Source organism: Homo sapiens, chromosome 5 (genome assembly GCF_000001405.40).
Source record: "Homo sapiens chromosome 5, GRCh38.p14 Primary Assembly".
In the NCBI taxonomy this organism is placed as follows: domain Eukaryota; kingdom Metazoa; phylum Chordata; class Mammalia; order Primates; family Hominidae; genus Homo; species Homo sapiens.
Window position 1 is genome coordinate 12554887 of NC_000005.10, and position 22556 is coordinate 12577442.

At 37.2% G+C, this 22556-nt stretch overlaps 2 long non-coding RNA genes across 4 annotated transcripts in view; one reads left to right on the top strand and one right to left on the bottom strand.

Moving 5' to 3' along the window:
• The window catches only part of LOC105374655 (uncharacterized), a 213260-nt gene extending 193506 nt beyond the window's left edge, over positions 1-19754 (bottom strand). For all 3 annotated transcript variants that reach the window (NR_188266.1, NR_188267.1, NR_188268.1), the window contains exons 1-2: positions 19618-19754; positions 16930-17018 (exon numbers count right to left, since the gene is read on the bottom strand). This is a non-coding gene — a long non-coding RNA (uncharacterized LOC105374655). The remainder of the gene's footprint in view (positions 1-16929; positions 17019-19617) is intronic.
• A 216-nt stretch (positions 19755-19970) lies between these two features.
• LINC01194 (long intergenic non-protein coding RNA 1194) overlaps positions 19971-22556 on the top strand; it is a 230327-nt gene continuing 227741 nt past the window's right edge. Inside the window, exon 1 of the long non-coding RNA NR_033383.1 lies at positions 19971-20166. This is a non-coding gene — a long non-coding RNA (long intergenic non-protein coding RNA 1194). The remainder of the gene's footprint in view (positions 20167-22556) is intronic.

A 22556-nucleotide genomic window follows, 5' to 3' on the forward strand; every position in this document is an offset into this window, starting at 1 on the left:
ACTTTTTAGAATGGAAATGAAAAATACACATAGATGTAAATTTCAAATTTTATTGACTTTGTTTTATTGTAATCTAGAAGAAAGACTTTTTAAAATTTAATGAAGTTTCTCCTCAAACCTATTTTGACATGATCTTTGAGAGACCATAATTCTATAATATTCTTTTAAACAGTAGATAATGTATCAATTATTCATGTAACTATTATATTGCAGATAAATGTAAAGGGCACAATAACACTCTTAATGCCAGCTAGAAATACATCTTATAATTGAAGATTTATATTAAAATATTTAAAAAGTAGCTGATACTTTGCCTAGGATACATAAGTACATAATTTTTATTTAGACTTAGGCTAATTTGAATGACTATATTTGACTATATTTGAATGACTGTTTAATTTGAATGACTTTAATTATTAATTACAATAGATTGTCAAAATGTATGTAAAAATTCACACAAACACTAGTGTCTTAGTTAATATGTAAAACAAAACTTCAATATGAAAGTTTTATCTCAAATTAATATTTATTATTATGATACTGTTTGCTTATCTCAAAGACAATGGTGTCTTGAATAACACAATAGAAAATTATCTCAATAAAGAATACTACTTCTGGGTCAGGTGCAATGGCTCACACCTGTAATCCTAGCACTTTGGGAGGCCGAGGCAGGTGGATCACAAGGTCAGGAGTTCAAGACCAGCCTGGCCAAGATGGTGAACCCCCATCTCTACTAAAAATAAAAAATTAGCTGGGCATGGTGGTGGGCGCCTGTAATCCCAGCTACTCGGGAGGCTGAGGCAGAGAACTGCTTGAACCTGGGAGGTAGAGGTTGCAGTGAGCAGAGATCGCACAACTGCACTCCAGCCTGGGTGACAGAGAGAGACTCCATGCCAAAAAAAAAAAACAAAAAACAAAAAAACAAAAAACAAAAACAAAAAACTAGTACTTTTGAATACTGCTAAAATTTTCAAAATAATTCTAGCTATTGAGGTGTATTTTGATCCTTTAAGAAAGATACAGGAAGCAGTTATGTCTTCCCTGATTTAAAGAGTCTTCTAATGTAAAGATTAAGTAGGCTATGCATGTTCTCATGTAATAATTATCATTAAATTTGTTGTCACAAACACAAAAGGCATTGGTGACAATATACATTATTTTTTATTCTCCATGTTAATTTTCAGTTATGTGTGTATGTGTGTGACAAATAAGAATTTTAAAAATTTTAAAAATTTTAATATTCTTTTCTTTCCAAATATTAGACACCTTCTTTCATGAAAAATACTTTATATAGCTTTAAGTGTTCTCAAATGTTGCACATTGACTTATAACATCTAAATTACACAGACACTTTTCCTGCACATTTACTTTAAGCTGTCTGATGTTGTTATTATGCTCCTTTTTTTTTTTTTTTTTTTTTTGAGACGAAGTATCTCTCTGTCGCCCAGGCTGGAGTGCAGTGGCGTGATCTTGGCTCCCCACAACCTCTGCCTCCCAGGTTCAAGCAATTCTCCTGCCTCAGCCTCCCAAGTACCTGGGATTACAGGAACGTGCCACGGCACCTGGCTAATTTTTTGTATTTTTAGTAGAGACTGGGTTTCACCATGTTGGTCAGGCTGGGCTTGAACTCCCGACCTCAGGTAATCAGCCCACCTCGGTCTCCCAAAGTCTTATGATTACAGGCGTGAACCACAGTTCCCAGCCATGTTACTTTTTATATAACAGAAATAGTTGTGCTAATGGTCTTCTGAGAAGGAAGGTAGGAAACTACAAATCTTAAAGGAAGTAAACCAAAAGTCAAATGCCACCTTATATGGATATTGAGTAATTGATTTTGTGATTTAGTAGTTTGTTTAGCTTATCATTCAAAGGCATACGTTAATTGTTACTCAATTTCATTTTTGGTACATTAGGAAACTGAAAAACCTGACGTGCATGTGTCGATTTGTGTTTATAAGCCATGGACTTTGTGTGTGATCATTATATTAGCTGCTCTAATGAAAATTGTTACACTTTCAATGCTCTTTCAACCTGCAGTTTCTAATCTGTCACAAATCATTGTGGGTACCCCTACTGTAGCTAGATCACCTCGTCAGTGTTAAGACAATTGCAAGGCACAGCCAGTATCTGGAATTTTGTTTTCACCTTCTGCCCATAAACATTATTTTCATATTATCTACTCTCTTCACAGTCAGAGCCAAAACTTTGTCTTAATTCTAAAGTACTACATTACAAAAATTTTAAATATCTTAATTTCTGACTATATTGACAAATATATCCAGCCTGCTTACTCACCTTGTTTGTTCAGTCGATCTCTCTATTTGTCCTGTCCTAGTTCTACTTATATTTCTATCCAACTTAGATCTCTTGGGCCATTATTTCAATATTTTTATTGCCATTTCCAGAAGGAATTTTGTTGACTTTCTTCTAACAAAACTATAATTCTGGAAGAGGCCACGTCACCCAATATCAACAAAATGCTTATAATTGCACATGATTTATATCAAGCTTTTCTAACCAATATTTTTGGAAGGTAGGCCTGGCTACATAATTTGCTAGGACTAGTGCAAAATAAAAATGCAGGTCAAAAGCTTTATTTTTGTACAAACAGCTGTACTTAAAGGCATTAAAATATGTAGCTTTCCCCATTAAAAATATTTTATAACTTATAAAATGTAATAATGATACATGAAAACAACATAAAATTCCAAAATTATTAAAAAAAACCCAATATTATAAAATACAATAGAAAATAGCACCTTATGAATGTAAAATCTTGATTGATAAAATATTGTCCTGAATATTTATTTATTAGGACATTAAAAGTTATATATTTATCAACTTTATTTTTAATTGGTACAAATAAAAAGTGATGTTATTCACTCTAAAAATGCATGGTTATGAATAATTTTTGATACTTTTTGATTCTGAGAAGGATCTGTTGATGCAATTGCTATAGAAGCTGTTAGAGTATTTTGTAGACTGTTAATATATTTAGATAAATTCCTTTGAAGTATAAATTTTAGTACTTCTACAGCTAATAATTTTCGTGGAATGAAATATTTTTCTCAAAAGATTTAACTGTATACAAATCTGTTTGATATAAGTATGAATTTAATTTTAAATATAAATGTATTCAATAACATTTTAACGTTCTCTCTGACATTTGCTGTGTGGTGGTGACAAAGAAACCAAAGTCACTTCATGAGTTGTATCTAACTTAAAATTTTTACCTAACCACCAGAGGTTTGGTCTAGGTCCTGGTGCTCACTGCACTGAAAGATGATGACTGAGACAACAGGTATTACCAAGGAAGAAGGCTTTAAATCAGGCACTACAGCCAAGGAGATGGGAGCTCAGTCTCAAATCCCCCTCTGAGGAGCCAAAACTAGGAGTTTATATAGCAGGGAAGAAATTTAACAATGTGTAAGAAAACAGCAACTAGGGAGGGGCAAGGAAGCAATCACGATAAATGAGGGATCTGGTATTTCATTGTCTGAATGTGGTGATCTGGTGAGTTTCAGTTCTTTGATAAGTTTTTTTGGGGACCAGAATATCATTTTCTGAGGAAGCAACTCAGATAAAACAAATGTAAATTTTAAGTTTTAAGGCCAGAAGCATCCATTTCAGTTTATCAAAAACAACAACAACAACAACAGCAAACAACAACAACAAACCTATCTATGGGACTGTTGGGTCAGTTTCAAAATGGCTGTTTTTTTCTTAGTGCTATATTTTCAATTTAGGTAAAAAATAACTTTAAAAATATATTCCTCATTAATAATTTTTATGCCATTTAAAACTGCAAATTTAAGGAAAATGTTGTCAAGAACGTCAACACAGTGACCGCAGAGTGAGCAAGCTGTGTCTCATGCCCTTAAGCCAACCCTGTTAGAAGACATGGATGCAGCAACAGTATTTTTTAATCTAAATACTTTTATTTGCTGTCCAAAAGTATAAATCCACAATAGAACATAAATAAATAAATAAATATATCCATCACATTACATACTTTTTTTTTTTTTGAGACAAGTCTCTCTCTTTCTCCCAGCCTGGAGTCCAGTGGCAGGATCATATCCCCTCGCAGCCTCAAACTCCTGGGCTCAAGCAATCCTCTTACATCAGCCTACCAAGTAGCTGGGACTACTGGTATGTTCCACCATTCCTGGCTAATTTCTTTTAAATTTTATTTGGAACAGATGGGGTGTTCCTTTGTTGCCCAGGCTGGTCTTGGAAGCCTGGGCTCAAACAATCCTTCTCCCTCAACCTCTTAAAGTGATGGCATTATAGGCATAGACCAGTGCACCTGGCCTACATACATTTTTTATTTATTAGTAGGAATGCCTGAGAGTTCCAGGCCAGAAAATCAGAGACATGTAAATTCCGGAATGCCTTTTTTATTGACAGTAAGAATAATGGTGCTATTTATAAGTTTGAGAAGGCATAATGATTTTATGCTTTGTCATACTCAAGGAAGATTAGTTTTTTTCTCTTTATTTTTTAAGGACCAAAAAGTCTATATTGCAACTCAATATAAAAATTTGCAAAAACTTAATTCTAACAATAAACTGAATCATTTTGGAGAACTAACAGTGTATTATGAGCATGAAGATATGATGATGACATTAGAAGGAATGTTGGTCTAAAAGGGATACCTTGGTCCTGCCTAAAATTAAGGATCATTGGTTCCCTAACCTCCAAACCTTTCCAAATCACACAGTAAAAGAGAGTGACATCAGTACCTTGATCTCATAGATAAACTATTAATTCTACATTGATTTTGTCTTTAATTTTTTCTCTATTTTTTTAAAGGTACTAAGCCTCATATAGCTTTGGTGTGTTTAGCAGAATGACACAGATGAAACGTGGATAAATAGTAGTATGATGTATTCTTCCTCCTTTCACCCCAGGATGCATCCCCTAGTATTCAGATTTCAAAGTTGACTGAAATAGATATTGATATAGAGAATGCTTTTGTGGATTATTACTTGTTTGCTCAGTGAATTCCATAATCTACTTTTCTATATCTTGCTCAGATTCATTTCCTGGAAAGCTGACTTCTATAAACTATATCATCTAGGCCACTTTTCTCTTTGGGTTGAATCTGGATTTGAAAAATGGCAGGAGTTACTCAGAGATAGAGAAATTATTTGTAAAATTTAAGCCACCCTAATTTCCTGGTAAGCTGTTTTCACGGTTACCCTGATTATCCTAAAGTGTACAGATCCTGACAGATCGCAGTTTTCCTTATATGTTTAGATACATGCTCCTTATCAGATATATGATTGCAAATATTTTCTTTCATTGGTGGTTTGTCTTTTTCTTTTCTCTTGACTTTTATTTTAGGTCCAGGAATACATGTGCAGGTTTGTTAGATGAGTAAATTGCATGTCTCTGAGGTTTGGTGCATGAACGACCCCATCACCCAAGTAGTGAGCGTACTATCCAATAGGTAGTTTTTCAACTCACTCCCCTTCCATTCTCCCCAATAGTCCCAAGTGTTTATTGTTTCCATGTTTGTGTCCATGTGTTCTCAGTGTTTAGCTCCTGATTGTAAGTGAGAACAGGCGGTATTTGGTTTTCTGTGCTTGCATTAGTTCTCTTAGGACAATGACCTCAAGCTGCATTCATATGTATTTTGAAACATAGAAGCATGGAACTGTGAGGAAGACCATATTATCTTTTTTGGGTTTCTTTTACTTCTTGTCATTCTAAGAAACCATTCTAGGAAGTCATTATCAAATTAGAGGGTATTCAGATTTGCCCATAATAGTTTTCTAGTTTAAATTTCTACATTTAGGTCTTTCACCCATTTAGTTATTTAATATTGTGAGAGGTAAGAATCTCTATATGTGCTATCCAGATGTTTCAACAACATTTGTTGAAAAGACTTTTTGTTCATTAAATAATCATGGCACTCTCATCAAAATAAGTTGACCATAGACACATTACTTATTTCTGAATGTTAGATTTGATTCCATTGTTATACCTGTATATAAATACTGGTACCTCGCTATCTTGATTACTGCTGCTTTTTAGTAAGTTTTAATATTGAAAAGTGTGAGTCCTCCAAGTTTTTCTTCTTTATCAAGATTATTTTGTCTATTCTAGATCCCGTGCAATTCCATATAAATTTTAGGATTAGCTTGTCGGTTTCCAAAATTGAGACTCCAAAATTCCAAGATTGTGGTGAATCTATATATCAATTTAGTGAGTATTGCCATCTTAACAATATTAAGTCTTTCGATCCTTGAACATAGGATTTTTTTCCACATATTTAGATTTTTCTTTAATATTTTTCAACAGTTTTGTAATCTTCATAGAGTAAGTTTTGCATTATTTTTGTTAAATATTTTCCTAAGTATTTTATTCTTTCTAATGCTCTTAAACATAAAATTGTAACTTCACTTTTAAATTGTTTGATTAAAGTGTCTAAAACTAAAATTGATTTTTGTATATTAACCTTGAATCCTATAATCTTGCTGTACTTATTAGTATTAATTTTCTTCTAATGGTTTCTATAGAAATTTATATATACATATATAATATATAATTATGTGATCTTGTGTATATACGTATGTATATATGTATATATGATCTTGTGTGTGTATACAAGATCGTATAACACATATATATTAATATATGTTATATATGTGTGTACGTATATATAGAATAGTGTGTGTGTGTGTGTGTGTGCGCTTGTGTGAGAGAGAGAGAGAGAGAGAGAATGGGGATAGTTTTCCTGCTTTCTTTCCAATCTGTATGTCTTCCATTTCATTTTCTTGCCTAATTGCTCTAGCTAAAACTTCTAGTATAATGTTGAATAGAATTAAAAAGGGTGAGTATCATTACCTTGTTCCTGATCTCAGGGGGGAAAACTTCAGGCTTTCACCACTGTGATGTTAGCTGTGAGTTTTCCATAGATGCTTTTTTTCTCTTTTTTTTCTTTTAAGTGGGAATAATTTTATTTTCAAACTTTCATCTTGGATTTAGGAAGTACATATGCAGATCTGTTACCTGGGTATACTGCATGCTCCTAAGGTTTGGGGTATGAATAATCCCATCACCCAGGCACTGAACACAATGGTATAATTTGAATTGCAAATAATTTTGCCACACAATAAAATAAATTATGTATCAAGTAGCAAAAAGATTTCAATTTTAATAATAGGCAATTTTCATTGTTTTCAAAATTGTATGAGGGTTTTACCATTTATGAAAACGTTTCGCTTCTGTGGTTACATCAAAAAGAATTTTGTGATCACTTTTTCTTTTCAAAAAATATGACACACCTGTGAAAGATCAAATATATCAGACATATTCAATGTTACTATTGATAAGAAATATTTTTTATTCTGTCACTTTCTACAAAGTCAAAAAGAATCATAAACTTAAGAGGAGGTGAAAGTCCTCTTAGAAATGTTACCTCAAATAATTGAAAGAAGACATGACATCTGAATAAATATTTTACTTTATTTTTCATTATGGCACACTTGTATGTACTGGATTATTACAATTAGGTTTTTGTTTTCATTTAGGTAGACACAATGCTGTTATCATTAACGTTCATATTCTCCAGGGACAGAAGAAGAATAACATACAATGATTTTTTTATTGTCAGGTGAAATATTGCAATGTGGCAACCAGATTACTTGGGTGAAAGTGACATATCCTTAGGAGAAAAAATATATTCCTCACAGCAAAAAACTTTTCTTTTTCTTTCTTTCATACCCGTTGTATTATTTCCTGCACAAATGCAATTTTAATGTCATATTTTTAAACTGGTAAAAAAAATTTCAAAAGACATTCTTATTTCTACCCATTATATGCTTAGGAAATAACATAATTCATTTTCTGTTATTCATACCTCCAACAACAATGAAGAATAATTTTGAGCATTAAAATATAATTTTTTTCATTCATTTGTCTTTTATTTAAGTTCAATTGTTACAGTTTAGTTCTTACAATTGAGTTGCTGCATCACCAGGCTTAACCAACTGGTCTTCACCATGTTACTTAGAGACTATATACACACCATCATCCTAAGATTTATTAAATTATCAGTCTTATTCACTAACATTAAAACTGGAAGGTAATATGAGATTGATTATTCTTATTAAGTGCACTGTTTTGAAATAAGACAGGCATTCATAAAATTTCATTGAACAGTACTATACCAAAAGCTTATTTCATATTTTCTCATTAATCTTATTATTTTCCCAAATGGACATCTGACACAGTAAAAGGAATAAAATATTTACATACATATATGATACATATATAAATGATAAATGTATGACACACATATGATGTATATATATGCCTCATATATGTACCATACATGTGCATATGCATTATATATATGCATCATAGATGCGTTATTATATATGTGTGTGTGTATATATATATGTGTGTGTGCGTGTTTGTATATATATATAATTTTATCTACCTTCCCCAGTTTCTCCAAAAGTCAAACTGATGATATAAACTGGGCACTGGTTTCTAAGAGTCTGTGCATTGCAGGCCCTTTATAAGACAAGTGTCTGGGAAGCAACTCAAAATAGTTTCAGCCAAAGAAGAAACATAATGGGTCACAAAACTGAGGACATGGGTGGTTTTGTTTTAATAAGATGGAGTACAAGACTGTATGGAATATTGCAGACACTCTTACTATCTTTAATCTGTGCTATTCCTGTATTCTCATTGCCCCATTTAAGAGACCAATAAGAGGGTGCAGCTTGGATGAGGGTAAAGTGACTGCAGGCCTCTCCAGACATTTTTTTAAAGGGAGATGTGGCTACCACATGCCCTGCTTTCCTTACTGTGTGGCATCATAGACATGTTATGGTTGTTTTTAAATTTTATATGAATGGCATCATAGACAGTATTTTGTCTTTTTCCTAAGTAATATGTTTGTTAAATGGACCTACGCTCTTGTATAGAGTATCTATGTTAATTGTTACTTCTATAGGCTTGTATTAGTTTGTTCTCATGCTGCTGATAAAAACATACCTGAGACTGGCCAATTTACAAAAGAAAGACACTTAATGAACTTGTTCCACATGGCTCTGGAGGCCTCACAAGTATGGTGGAAGGCAAAGAGGAGAAAATCACTTCTTACATGGATGGTAGAGAGAGAGCTTATGCAGGAAAACTCCCCCTTATAGAACCATCAAATCTTGTGAGACTTATTCACTATTCATGAGAACAGCACAGAAAAGATCTGACCCCATAATTCAATTACCTCCCACCAGGTCCCTCCCACAAGAGAGGGAACTCAAGATGAGATTTGGGTGGGTACACAGACAAACCGTATCATTCCACCCCACCCCCTCCCAAATCTCATGCCATTACATTTCAAAACCAATTATGCCTTCCCAATAGTACCCCAAAGACCTATCTCATTTCAGCATTAACTCAAAAGTCCACAGTCCAACGTCTCATTTGAGACAAGGCAAGTCCCTTCAGCCTATGAGCCTGTAAAATCAAAAGCAAGTTAGTTGCTTCCTAGATACAATGGGGTTACAGGCATTGTGTAAATACATCCATTTCAAATGGGAGAAATTGGTCAAAAGAGTGGGGCTACAGGCCCCATGCAAGTTTGAAATCCAGCAGGGCAGTCAAATATTAAAGCTCTAAAATGGTCTCCTTTGACTCCATGTCTCACATCCAGGTCATGCTGAGGCAAGAGATGAGTTCCCATGGTCTTGGGCAGCTCCACCCCTGTAGCTTTGTAAGGTACAGTCTCCTTCTCGGCTGCTTTCATGGGCTGGTGTTGAGTGCTGGCGCTTTTCCAGGCGCACGGTGCAAGCTCTCAGTGGATCTACTATTCTGGGGTCTGGAGGATGGTGGCCCTCTTCTCACAGTTCCACTAGGAAATGCCCCAGTAGAGATTCTGTGTGAAGGGCTCCAACCCCACATTTCCCTTCCACACTGCCTTAGCAGGGGTTCTCCATTAGGGCCACACCCCTGCAGCAAAATTTCTGCCAGGGCATCCAGGCATTTCCATACATCTTCTGAAATCTAGGTGGAGGTTCTCAAACCCCAATTCTTGACTTCGTTGCACTCGCAGGCTCAACATCATGTGGAAGCTGCCAAGGCTTGGGGCTTGCACTCTCTGAAGCGACGGCCCATGCTCTATATTGGCCTCTTTCAGCCATGCCTGTAGCAGCTGGGATGCAGGGCACCAGGTCCCTAGGCTGCACACAGCATACAGACCCTGGGCCTGGCCCAAGAAACCATTTTTTCCTCCTAGGCCTTTGAGTCTGTGATGGGAGAGGCTGCCATGAAGTCCTCTGACATGTCCTTGAAACATTTTCCCCATTGTCTTGGGGATTAACATTTGGCTCTTTGTTACTTAAGCAAATTTTTGCAGGCAGCTTGAAATTTCTCCTCAGAAAATGGGATTTTCTTTTCTAGCACATCTTCAGGCTGTAGATTTTCCAAAATTTTATGCTCTGCCTCCCTTGTAAAACTGAATGCCTTTAACAGCACCCAAGTTACCTCTTGAATGTTTTGCTGCTTAGAAATTTCTTCTGGAAGATACCCTAAATCATCTCTCTCAAGTTTAAAGTTTCAGAAATATCTAGTGTAGGGGCAAAATGCCGCCAGTCTCATTGCTATAACATAACAAGAGTCACCTTTGCTCCAGTTCCCAACAAGTTCGTCATCTCCATCTGAGATAAGCTCAGCCTAGATTTCATTGCCAATATCATTATCGACATTTTGGTGAAAGCCATTTCACAAGTCTCTAGAGAGTTCCACAGTTTCTCACATTTTCCTGTCTTCTTCTGAGCCCTCCAAACTGTTCCAATCTCTGCCTGTTATGCAGTTCCGAAGTCCCTTCCACATTTTTGGGTATCTTTTCAGCAGCGACCCACTCTATTGGTACCAATTTACTGTATTAGTCTGTTCTCACGCTGCTGATAAAGACATACCAAAGACTGGGTAATTTACTAAAGAAAGAGGTTTAATAGACTTACAGTTCCACATGGATTGGGAGGCCTCACAATTATGGTGGAAGGCAAGGAGGAGCAAGTCTTATTCTACATGGATAGCAGCAGGTAAAGAGAAAGCTTGTTCAGGGAAACTCCTTCTTATATAACCATCAGATCTTGTGAGACTTATTCATTATCACGAGAACAGCATGGGAAAGACCTGCCTTCATGATTCAATTACCTCCTACAAGTTCTGTCCCACAACATGTGGGCATTCAAGATGAGATTTGGGTGGGGACACAGCCAAACCCTATCAAATATCAATGCTATAACATTATATCAATATTCTGCATTATATTTATGCATTTCAATTTGATACATTAGGTAGTTCCCAGATTTAGGACATTATGAAAAACATTGTTACTAATATAGCATTACTTTTTTTGGTGGTGTGTGGTAGACATGAAGACATCACACCTAGGTCACACTTCAAGGAAGACATCTATGTAGAGCTTCAGAGAATGCAGTCACTGAACAGACTCCAGGTGTCAATTCCTTCAGGACCAGCCTCCTATGCAGAAAGTCACCTTGCCCAAAGCTCTAAAAGTTTGAAAATTTGGTTTGATGTGGTACAAAGATGATGAGCAATTTCATTGCAGAGATCCCCTCTGGGTGACAGAGGCTTTCTTGGTCCTGCAGTTTGTCTAATCCAGCTTGCTTTGTTCCCTTTTCCCTTACTGATGTTGACTCTTAAAAAGTATCTTGTACTCCAAGCTCTGACTCACTTCCTGGAGTGGTCCCAGGAAGGAAGGAATAAGATGGGGTTTGGGAATTGCATCACTCACTGCGCAGGTTGCAATGAAGAACCCATCACTGCTGACAGAGCACACTGCCCCTGGCACAAGTGCCAAGCCAGCTTTTAAACCTTTCAGCCATGGTGAACTGGGAGGGTTTCCCAGTGGGGAAGAATGCAATAGCTGATGTGATATTTGAAGCACTTGAAGCATGAAAAAGCAAAATATCTATAAGAATAAGAGGATTGATGACTATTGCTAAATCTCATTAATGCTAACAATAGCTGAGGTCAACATCCCCCAAAAAACTCAAACTTTATTTTTCTAGTTCCTCAATATGAACCAGGCTTTAGAAATTGATCTCATAACTAAAAATTACTGAATCCCAGGCAGAAGGACTCCAAAATATTATGGCAAATATGTGATATACTGATTCAGTGCTTCTCCAAAGGGACATATGGCCATTTACTTAGAGAGCTATAATTAGAATCCATTGTTCTTTTCCCATATGGCTGCTTGGATAGAGTTAAAAGACCCTGCTAAAGGCATGAAGAAGTTCCATCTGAGAAGGAATACTCTTAAAATTTGGTGTGCCATACTCCAGGGTGAACTGGATCAAAAGAAACAAATCAAGGGATGGAAGTGAGAGTTTGTTGAATCATGTAACTTTTTATAATGCTATATAATCAATAAAAAGAATACCTGGTCAGAAAACTAAGAGATGAAAGCAGAAGGAGTCCCTCTAAGCACCATTCTCAATGACCTGTTGGGGAATTTATGCTTCCCATCCCTGCAGCCCTGGGATATGCAGGGTTAGAGTTTCTTATCCTCAAATGTGGCACCTTTCTACTGGGGACATAAGAAAGTCAGTTGAACTATAAATTATGGTTGCTCCCTAGGCATTTTGAGATCTTTTGTTTTGTTTTATCAACAATCAGAAAATAGAAAATTGAGTTGTAATTTTCAGTGGACTTCTGTTACACCAAAGGGCAAGGAGAAATCCAAGTGTAACCCACATGATCCATTTGAGCCCACTACTATTTCTTTGTCCACCCATGGTTTAAACAAACAGATACAGAGACTTTGGTATAAGAAGGGCATGGAAATCAGGAACTCAAACCCCTCAAGGATGCAGGTCTCACCTCCAGGTAAGCTACTAAGGTCAAGCAGAGCTATTTGCTGATTGAGAGAGATATAGAATGGTTAATGGAAGGAGGAGAAAATGGGTGTCAATTGTGGCCCTGACAATAACTGCTTCAGTTAGTTTCTTTTCTCTTAGTTTTCCCTCAGAAGAGAAAGAAATGCAAGAAGGAGTCCTGGGAAAGCTTTTCCCTGAAAATGTATATGAGAATGTATTTGAGTGCTGCAAGAGATCAACTGCTGTACACAAGAAGACATGCCACACAGCAATCCTTTCAGAGACATTCTTGCTGGGTTCTGGAATCTCTTTTCCTCTCATGCCTTTATCTGTTTATCTATTCCCACATTGATTACGCAGTATGGTATTTGTGTATTAAAATAAGATGTGATTTTTAGTAATGGAATTTCTCCAGGTTTGTTATATCTCTTTAAGATTATCTGGGCTATTTTGAGCCCTTTATATTTGCATATAAATTTTAGAGAAAGTTTATCAATGTATGCACATTAAAACAAACTCTGAGGAAATATTTTCTGAAGTGGTTGTGGGATTGCATGCATTTATAAGCATATTTGGAAGAAATGCTGTCTTCAAATCTATATTTATGTACAGGCCTCACAGACCTATTTATGTATTAATATCTTTCAGGAGTATGTTGTGTTTTTCATCATATAAATTGTTCCTATCTTTTGTTAGATATATTCATAGGTAATTAATTTTTATATGATTGTAAATGGTAAAATTTATCATTTTATTTTCTATAACTTTCTGAGTTTTGCAAATGCAATTCATTTATTTTGCATTGCTCTTATCTTTTCCAATATTATTGTATTAATTGATTAATTCTAATATTTGTTTAGTGTACTAGTCCATTCTCTTGCTGCTATAAAGAAATACCTGAGACTGGGTAATTTATAAAGAAAAGAGTTTTAACTGACTCGCAGTTCCACATGGCTAGGGAGGCCTAAGGAAGCTTACAATCATGAGGGAAAGCACCTCTTCACAGGGCAGTAGGCGAGAGAATGAGTGCAAAAAGGAGAATTGCCAGATGCTTATAAAACCATCAGATCTTATGAAACTCACTCATTATCACAAGAACAGCATAGGGGAACCTGACCTCTTGATTCAGTTACCTCACCTGGTCCTGCCTTTGAAATGTGGGGATTACAATTCAAGGTGAGTTTTGGGTGGAAACACAGAGCTGAACCACAGCACAGAGAATCTTTTGGATTATTTTTATTCATATTATTTTGAATGAGGAAACACCTTCACGATGTTTCTGAATATATTATACATTGAATTTTTTGGGTTTTTTTGTGTTGTGCTATCTTAGATCACTGGCACAAAATTGAACAGAAGTAGTGAATGTGGGTATCAGTGTATTTGTAATGATAATTCATGATAGTTTTCTGTATGGATGCATTAAAAAGGACATTTTATTTTTTTAAAATTTGCTTTGCTTTTAAAAGTTAATATTTGTTAAATTTCATCAAATATTTGAATACATCTATAAAGACAGTCATACATATTTAATTTCTTATGTGATCATGCAGAAAGATTAACATTAATTCTACATTGTCTTTGCATTCGTGATTTATAAAACAGACATCTGTAATTTAATACTAATCTTATTTGTTTCTGGATTTTTATTTACAAATGTTTCATGTAATTTGTTTTGATGTGTATACATATACTCTATGTTCTTGTTGGATTTTGTTATCATGGTTCTGCTGGCTTCACAAAAATACTTTTTAAATACTTTCCCTGTTTCTTCACTTTAGAAGAATATGTGTGAAGTTGCTGTTATTTTGGCAATAGCTATTAGGAAAAAATCACTGATAAGGTAATCTGTTTGTGGGAATGTTTTGGAGAAAGATATTAATAATAGGTTCAACTTCTTTAACTGGCATAATATAAGGTACAAGTAATTTTAAGTTGCCACACAATAAAAAGAACACAGAACATACGCAAGATGCAGACTGTGACAGCATCATTGGATCAGCCTCCTAAACTCTGGCTTCACTGAGCATGTCATTCCTCTAGACTCAGTGGCTCATGCCTGTAATCCCAGCATTTTGGGAAGCTTAGGCGGGCAGATCGCTCGAGCCCCGCAGTTTGAGATGAGCCTGGGCAACATGGTTAAATCTTGTTTCTACTAGAATAAAAGAATAAATAAATAAATACACAAAAGTTAGCCAGGCATGCTGGCATGCACATGTAGTCTCAGCTACTCGGAAGGCTGAGGATGGCTTGAGTTCAGGAGGTGGAAGTTGTAGTGAGCCAATATTGCACCACTTCACTCTACTCTTGGCGAAAGAGATAGACCTTGTCTCAAAAAAAAAAACAACTAATTTTTCAGTTCTCTTGCTTATCAGATACCAAGAGTTAGAATTGAGAATATTTATAGGATTTTAAAATGAAAATGTGATATAGTTAGTGAGTTGAATGATATCTTCTCAACATATATGGTCACCTGAAACCTTTTATTTAGAATAAGAGTGTTTGCAGATGAAATGAAGGATCTGAAGAAGAGTTCATCCAAGATTTAGCCAGACCCTAAATCTAATGAGTTTCCTCATAAGGACAGAAAAGAAGACACAAAGATAGACAGAGAACAAGTGAATGTGAAGATGGAGGCAGGAATTGTAGCAACGTGTCTCAGCCAGGGAATGCTACAGATTCCAGGAAACTACCAGAAACTAGGAAAGAGGCATGCACAGACTCTCCCTCAAAGCCACCAGGAGAAAGTCATTCTTATTTCAGGAGGCATCTGACCTCCTGAACTGGGAGATAATGAATTTCTATTGTCTTAAACCACAAAGCTTTTGGTAATTTGCTATAGTGGCCCTAGGAAACTAAAATATGACCCTTCATGTATAGATGATAAAAGACAAAGTAACTTTAAGGTTCTACTATATTGAAAAATGTGATTAGTTCTTTTCCACCCAGTAGTCTCTTGACAAATCCCTGAAGGCATTATATCTGTTCTTTCCTTCCACAGAGAAACTATTTGCTTTGGAGGAGAGTTTGTTTTCTCAAAAAGGAAAATAATCCATTGAACATGTAAGCCTCTGATCCTTTTTTTTAATCCACAGGAGAATCAGAAGATGATTTTGCCATGACTAACACCCTGCCGATGACAGAAACAAATAACTCTTAAATTCTTATATCCTGTCTTTAAACAATTGAAATGCCTTTGACAATTGACCTACACTGCAAAGTATGTTTTCCACTCTTGATTGTATTGATCAGTAAATAAAGCCAGAGCCAAACTCTGTGCCTTTTTCTTGCTTAGAAAACCTCAATATAATCCTTGACCATTTGGAAAATAAAATAATGGTGAGGATTGAAATGATTTTTAATAGGTAATTCACCAGTTTTAAAATTTTCATTTTACAGAATAGTCTTGGCTTCAGGCACATAGATAACTTGTTTGATTATTCAAGTTGCATATTGTAATTAGTTATTTTTGTTTAAATGAACCTGGTAAATTCTGTTTAATTATTTTTTTAAAAGATGGCCTGGAATTAAATCTTCTCTGTTTCAGAATACCTTCTCTTTATTATCTCAGAGTAGCATTAGAGCATTTGATCATTGTGACTGTTTGTAATGCATAAATGATGAGTCCGGTGACGGCTTGTACACTTTTATTAACCGAAATTACATGCACCCCATAGAAAAACCAATACTTGAAACTAATGAAGTCTCTGATGTTTTGAATATTTTTTGTACAATCAAGTGCATGTGTATGTTCATTTTGCTAGTCCAACGGGTATCTGAACCTCAAAAGGCAAAGAATCCCATTAATACTAGATGCAATTTGAGAACAGAAGCATAATCTTTGTTACTGAGATTTCAGGTGGAGCATCCCACAGCATCAGACTTTGTTAAGATCAAATAAGAGACTACATTCCAAGACAATTGAGAGCATATATCCTAGAGGCAGAAAATTGTTAACCTACATAGATACACCCTATCATCATCTCTACCACTACTATGATAGTAATATTCTGGAATTCTGGAATTCTGCTGATGGGAAGTACTTAAATCTTAAGTTTACCTGGTGTATCATGGTACATGCACTTTGCGTCAATCTTTAAATCTTCTATTTTTCAAATGGTCGTAGTTCTGAAATGGGAATCCTGTAACCTGTTAGGTAAATGTGATAGTTACTAACTTGAACAACTAGTAAATGTGGAGCGCGCAAATATCAAAATAAAAATTGGTAACACAAATTCTATAATGTCAAAGAGAATCAGAGAAGAAATAGGACACAAATATTTCTTATGTCCCTGAGAGCAAAATGCTCTCATGCATCACAAATATTTGAAGTACGCTATCCACCACTAATATTGAAGTACCAATGTGAGGTAAAATTTGTGGTTTGAGAAAAAGCAAACAAAAACAAATGGAACAATCTTTTGATGTATATGCACGTGTCTTGGTCTATTTCATGCTATCATAATCGAACACTGAAGACTGAGTAATTTAGAATAAACAGACATTTATTGGTTTACAGTTCTGGAGGCTGGAGTCTATTATCCTGATGCTGGCACCTGTGAGGGCCTTTTTGCTGCATCATCAAATGGCAGAAGGTGAAAAGGCTAGAAGCGCAAGAGGGGGCTGAATTTCTCCATTTATAATGGCACAAATCCACCCATGACGGTGGAGCCTTCATGGCCTATCACGTTTTAAAGGTCTCACCTCTTAATACTGTTAAATGGTGATTAAATTTCAAAATGAATTTTGAAGGAGACAAACTTTCAAACCATAGCAGCGTGCCCTTACAAATAAAAATTGCACGTGTTTTCATTTAGTATTTATAAGGCCCTCACTCTATATCCTACAGCCGCCTTTTCTATACATGGCAATGTGAAGGTAGGGGTGTGGAAGGAAATAATTGGTTGTCTATGAAGCTTGAAAGGTTTAGAAAAATACTTATCAAGCCAAGAAATAATACAGTGGCATACAAAATAATAATTAAAAATTCAAAGATTACACAAGGACAACCACCACCACAAACATGTAATACCTGTAAGCTATGCCTTTTTTTTTTTTACTTTGCTAATTGGAAATCAGATATAGTTTATGCAACGAACCAAGTATTCAAACACAATATGAGAGAAAATCTAAAATGTTCTTAATTGTTGAAGTTGTCCATATTTTACAAATTCAACATGGTTATAGTTTCTGAAAAGTACCTAGGGCTCTAAGTAATAAGCATTGCCTAGTATTCAGAGTAATATACATGCACTAGACTCAAGAGTCTAGCATAGCTCCTGTACATAGCATTTCTTCCCTTAAAAGAAAGAGTTACCAAGCTGTATGAAAATCATGTGATCCTTTAACTTCTCTCTGCATTTAAGTAATTAAGATCGATTTGAGAGTGAGCATGGTGACACTCTCATTGTGGCTATTCATTGGATATTGCTAGAGCAAAGCCTGTAAGGCATCTTTAAGGACAAGGAGCTCCACATAGGCAGATGACCTATTTTTATAGGACATTCTTTTACGTTCTAAAGTCAAGAGAAATATTTTAAGAAATTGACATTTTGTTTCTCTCTTGAGCACTTATGTTCAATGAAATAAACTACTGTTTGTTTCTATTGCTTACCATCTTCCTATGAGTTCTTGCGTGAAAAACAGCTGATATTTGCCTAGTTTGAAATTTTAATCGTGAATATAATTGTTTTCCTACTCTGCTAATTCTAACTAAATTGTGATGAGTCAAAATCATTTTAAAGAGAGAATATGGGGGTTGCATTATTTTTCGTAGAAAATAAATCCACAGAGGACATGTAAATCCCATGAATTCCAGCTTGTTATGAATTGCTTACAAAGTGGAAAGACTGTAGAGTAACTAATAGTTAGCAATGATTACAAATTTCAGATGGTTTATGCTAATTTCCATTATTTATATAAATACCTCTATCTGGGCACATGTACAATTGGAATCCTTGTTAGCCATAATTATTTGCTGCAATTCATAGGTGGGTGTTCACATCAAGTGTTTTTTTTCCTGCTTCAGTGAACTTCCTCAGAGCTTATTTATGTGATTAAAAATAATCTGGTTCTGAGTTCTCTTGAAATGGTTTATTGTTTTTCTCTCCAATGTAAGTGCAATGTACAACCATCAGCCGTCCCTAAGAAACTAAAATTGTTTGATTTTTTTATGTGCTAAGAGAGGACACTCCTCAGCCCTTGGGTGGTCGACGGGACTGGGCGCCGTGGAGCAGGGGGTGGCGCTCGCCGGGGCGGCTCCGGCAGCACAGAAGCCCATGGAGGGGGTGGGACGCTCAGGCATGGCGGGCTGCAGGTCCCGAACCCTGCCCCGCGGGAAGGCAGCTAAGGCCTGGCGAGAAATCGAGTGCAGCGCCGGTGGGCTGGCACTGCTGGGGGACCCAGTACACCCTCCGCAGCCACTGGCCCGGGTGCTAAGCCCCTCATTGCCCGGGGCCAGCAGGGCCAGCCGGCCGCTCCGAGTGCGGGGCCCACCAAGCCCACGCCCACCCGGAACTCCAGCTGGCCCGCAAGCGCCGGGCGCAGCCCCGGTTCCCGCTCGCGCCTCTCCCTCCACACCTCCCTGCAAGCTGAGGGAGCCGGCTCTGGCCTTGGCCAGCCCAGAAAGGGGCTCCCATAGTGCAGCGGTGGGCTGAAGGGCTCCTCAAGTGCCGCCAAAGTGGGAGCCCAGGCAGAGGAGGCGCCGAGCGAGGGCTGTGAGGACTGCCAGCACGCTGTCACCACTCACCGTGAGCCCGCACTCCTCAGCCCTTGGGTGGTCGATGGGACTGGGCATCGTGGAGCAGGGGGCGGCGCTCGTCGGGGAGGCTCGGGCCGCACAGGAGCCCACGGCGGGGGCGGGGGGAAGCTCAGGCATGGCGGGCTGCAGGTCCCAAGCCCTGCCCCGCGGGGAGGCAGCTAAGGCCCCGCGAGAACTCGAGCACAGCAGCTGCTGGACCAGGTGCTAAGCCCTTCACTGCCCAGGGCAGGCGGGGCCAGCAGGCCGCTCTGAGTGCCGGGCCCGCCGAGTCCACGCCCACCCGGAACTCACGCTGGCCCGGAAGCGCCGCGCGCAGCCCTGGTTCCCGCCTGCGCCTCTCCCTCCACACCGCCTTGCAAGCTGAGGGAGCCGGCTCCGGCCTCTGCCAGCCCAGGAAGGGGCTCCCACAGTGCAGCGGCGGGCTGAAGGACTCCTCAAGTGCCACCAAAGTGGGAGCCCAGGCAGAGGAGGCGCCGAGAGCGAGCGAGGGCTGCCTGCCAGCACGCTGTCACGTCTCAGCAATAGACTGCTCTTGAGGTAAGCAGTAAGAATAAAAAATGAAATCAAGTCATTTTGCTTAGTGTACTACAACAATAGAGAATATTTTCTTTTTAATACAAAGGTTATTTAATTTTCCAGAGTAACTCTATTGCATCCAGTGGTGTAATTCTCAATTCATAAGGATGAAGAGAAGTTACCTGTGACCTATTACGTAATTTATAAACCTCTTCTTACAGAGAATGATGTGTCTTAGAGGAATAAAAGTGAGGCATTTTATTTTCTTCAAAATTAAATATTAACAATTGTCTTATACTGATCATGGGAAAAGTAAGCTGCTACCACCAATTCCAATCTGTATGAGGTACTTTTATTTAAGAATTATAACTAATGATTCAAGAACTAACTTAAGTCCTATTTTATTTACAATGATTCCTGAATGTAAGAACACCTACTGCATTTGCTCTGTATCCATGTAGGACCTAATTAGAAAGCTGGGCTCCATATAGAAAAACCAATGAATATTTTTTGATTGATAACTAGCCAAAATGACAGAGTTTTCCGTCTGTAAGCATACAAACATGCATTTTATTTTGAACTTTCATTTTGTTATAATTCTTTATGATTTTATCGGCAAAACCAACAAAATAATACATTGTTCTTAAAGGAACACATGCTAAAACAGAGGTACATTATACATGTTTACCAAAAGTACTGTAGGGTTGTTTTTACATTGAAAAATGCATTTGTCTGTATCCTTTGGAAAATCAAACTGATCTAATATAATTTCATTAAGTCTTTAAACAAAAAATACTTTAGAAATGTATGCAACTAACAAAGGGAAGAACATTTTATGCTCATGGATAGGAAGAATCAATATCATGAAAATGGCCATATTGCCCAAGGTAATTTATAGATTCAATGCCATCCCCATCAAGCTACTGATGACTTTTTTCACAGAATGGGAAAAAACTACTTTAAAGTTCAAAAAAGAGCCCACATTGCCAAGACAATCCTAAGCCAAAAGAGCAAAGCTGGAGGCATCACGCTACCTGACTTCAAACTATACTGCAAGGCTACAGTAAGCAAAACACAGATATAGACCAATGGAACAGAACAGAGCCCTCAGAAATAATACCACACATCTACAACCATCTGATCTTTGACAAACCTGACAAAAACAAGAAATGGGGAAACGATTCCCTATTTAATAAATGGTGCTTGGAAAACTGCCTAGCCATATGTAGAAAGCTGAAACTGGATCCCTTCCTTACATCTTATACAAAAATTAATTCAAGATGGATTAAAGACTTAAATGTTAGAACTAAAACCATAAAAACCCTAGAAGAAAACCTAGGCAATACCATTCAGGACATAGGCTTGGGCAAGGACTTCATGTCTAAAACACCAAAAGCAATGGCAACAGAAGCCAAAATTGACAAATGGGATCTAATTAAACTAAAGAGCTTCTGCATAGCAAAAGAAACTACCATCAGAATGAACAGGCAACCTACAGAATGGGAGAAAATTTTGGCAATCTGTCCATCTGACAAAAGGCTAATATCCAGAATCTACGAAGAACTTAAACAAATTTACAAGAAAAAGTCAACCCCATTAAAAAGTGGGCAAAGTATATGAACAGACACTTCTCAAAAGAATACATTTATGCAGCCAACAGACACATGAAAAAAATGCTCATCATCACTGGCCATCAGAGAAATGCAAATCAAAACCACAATGAGGTACCATCTCATGCCAGTTAGAATGGTGATCATTAAAAAGTCAGGAAACAACAGGTGCTGGAGAGGATGTGGAGAAATAGGAACACTTTTACACTGTTGGTGGGACTGTAAACTAGTTCAACCCTTGTGGAAGGCAGTGTGGCGATTCCTCAAGGATCTAGAACTAGAAATACCATTTGACCCAGCCGTCCCATTACTGAGTATATACCCAAACTATTACAAATCATGCTGCTATAAAGAAACATGCACAGGTATGTTTATTGCGGCACTATTCACAATAGCAAAGACTTGGAACCAATCCAAATGTCCATCAATGATAGACTGGATTAGGAAAATGTGGCACATATACACCATGGAATACTATGCAGCCATAAAAAAGGATGAGTTCATGTCCTTTGTAGGGGACATGGATGAAGCTGGAAACCATCATTCTGAGCAAACTATAGCAAGGACAGAAAACCAAACACCACATGTTCTCACTCATAGGTGGGAGTTGAACAATGAGAACACTTGGACACAGGGTGGGGAACATCACACACTGGGGCCTGTCATGGGGTGGGAGGAGGGGGGAGGGATAGCATTAGGAAAAATACCTAATGTAAATGATGAGTTGATGGGTGTAGCACACCAACATGGCACATGTATACATATGTAACAAACCTGCACATTGGGCATATGTACCCTAGA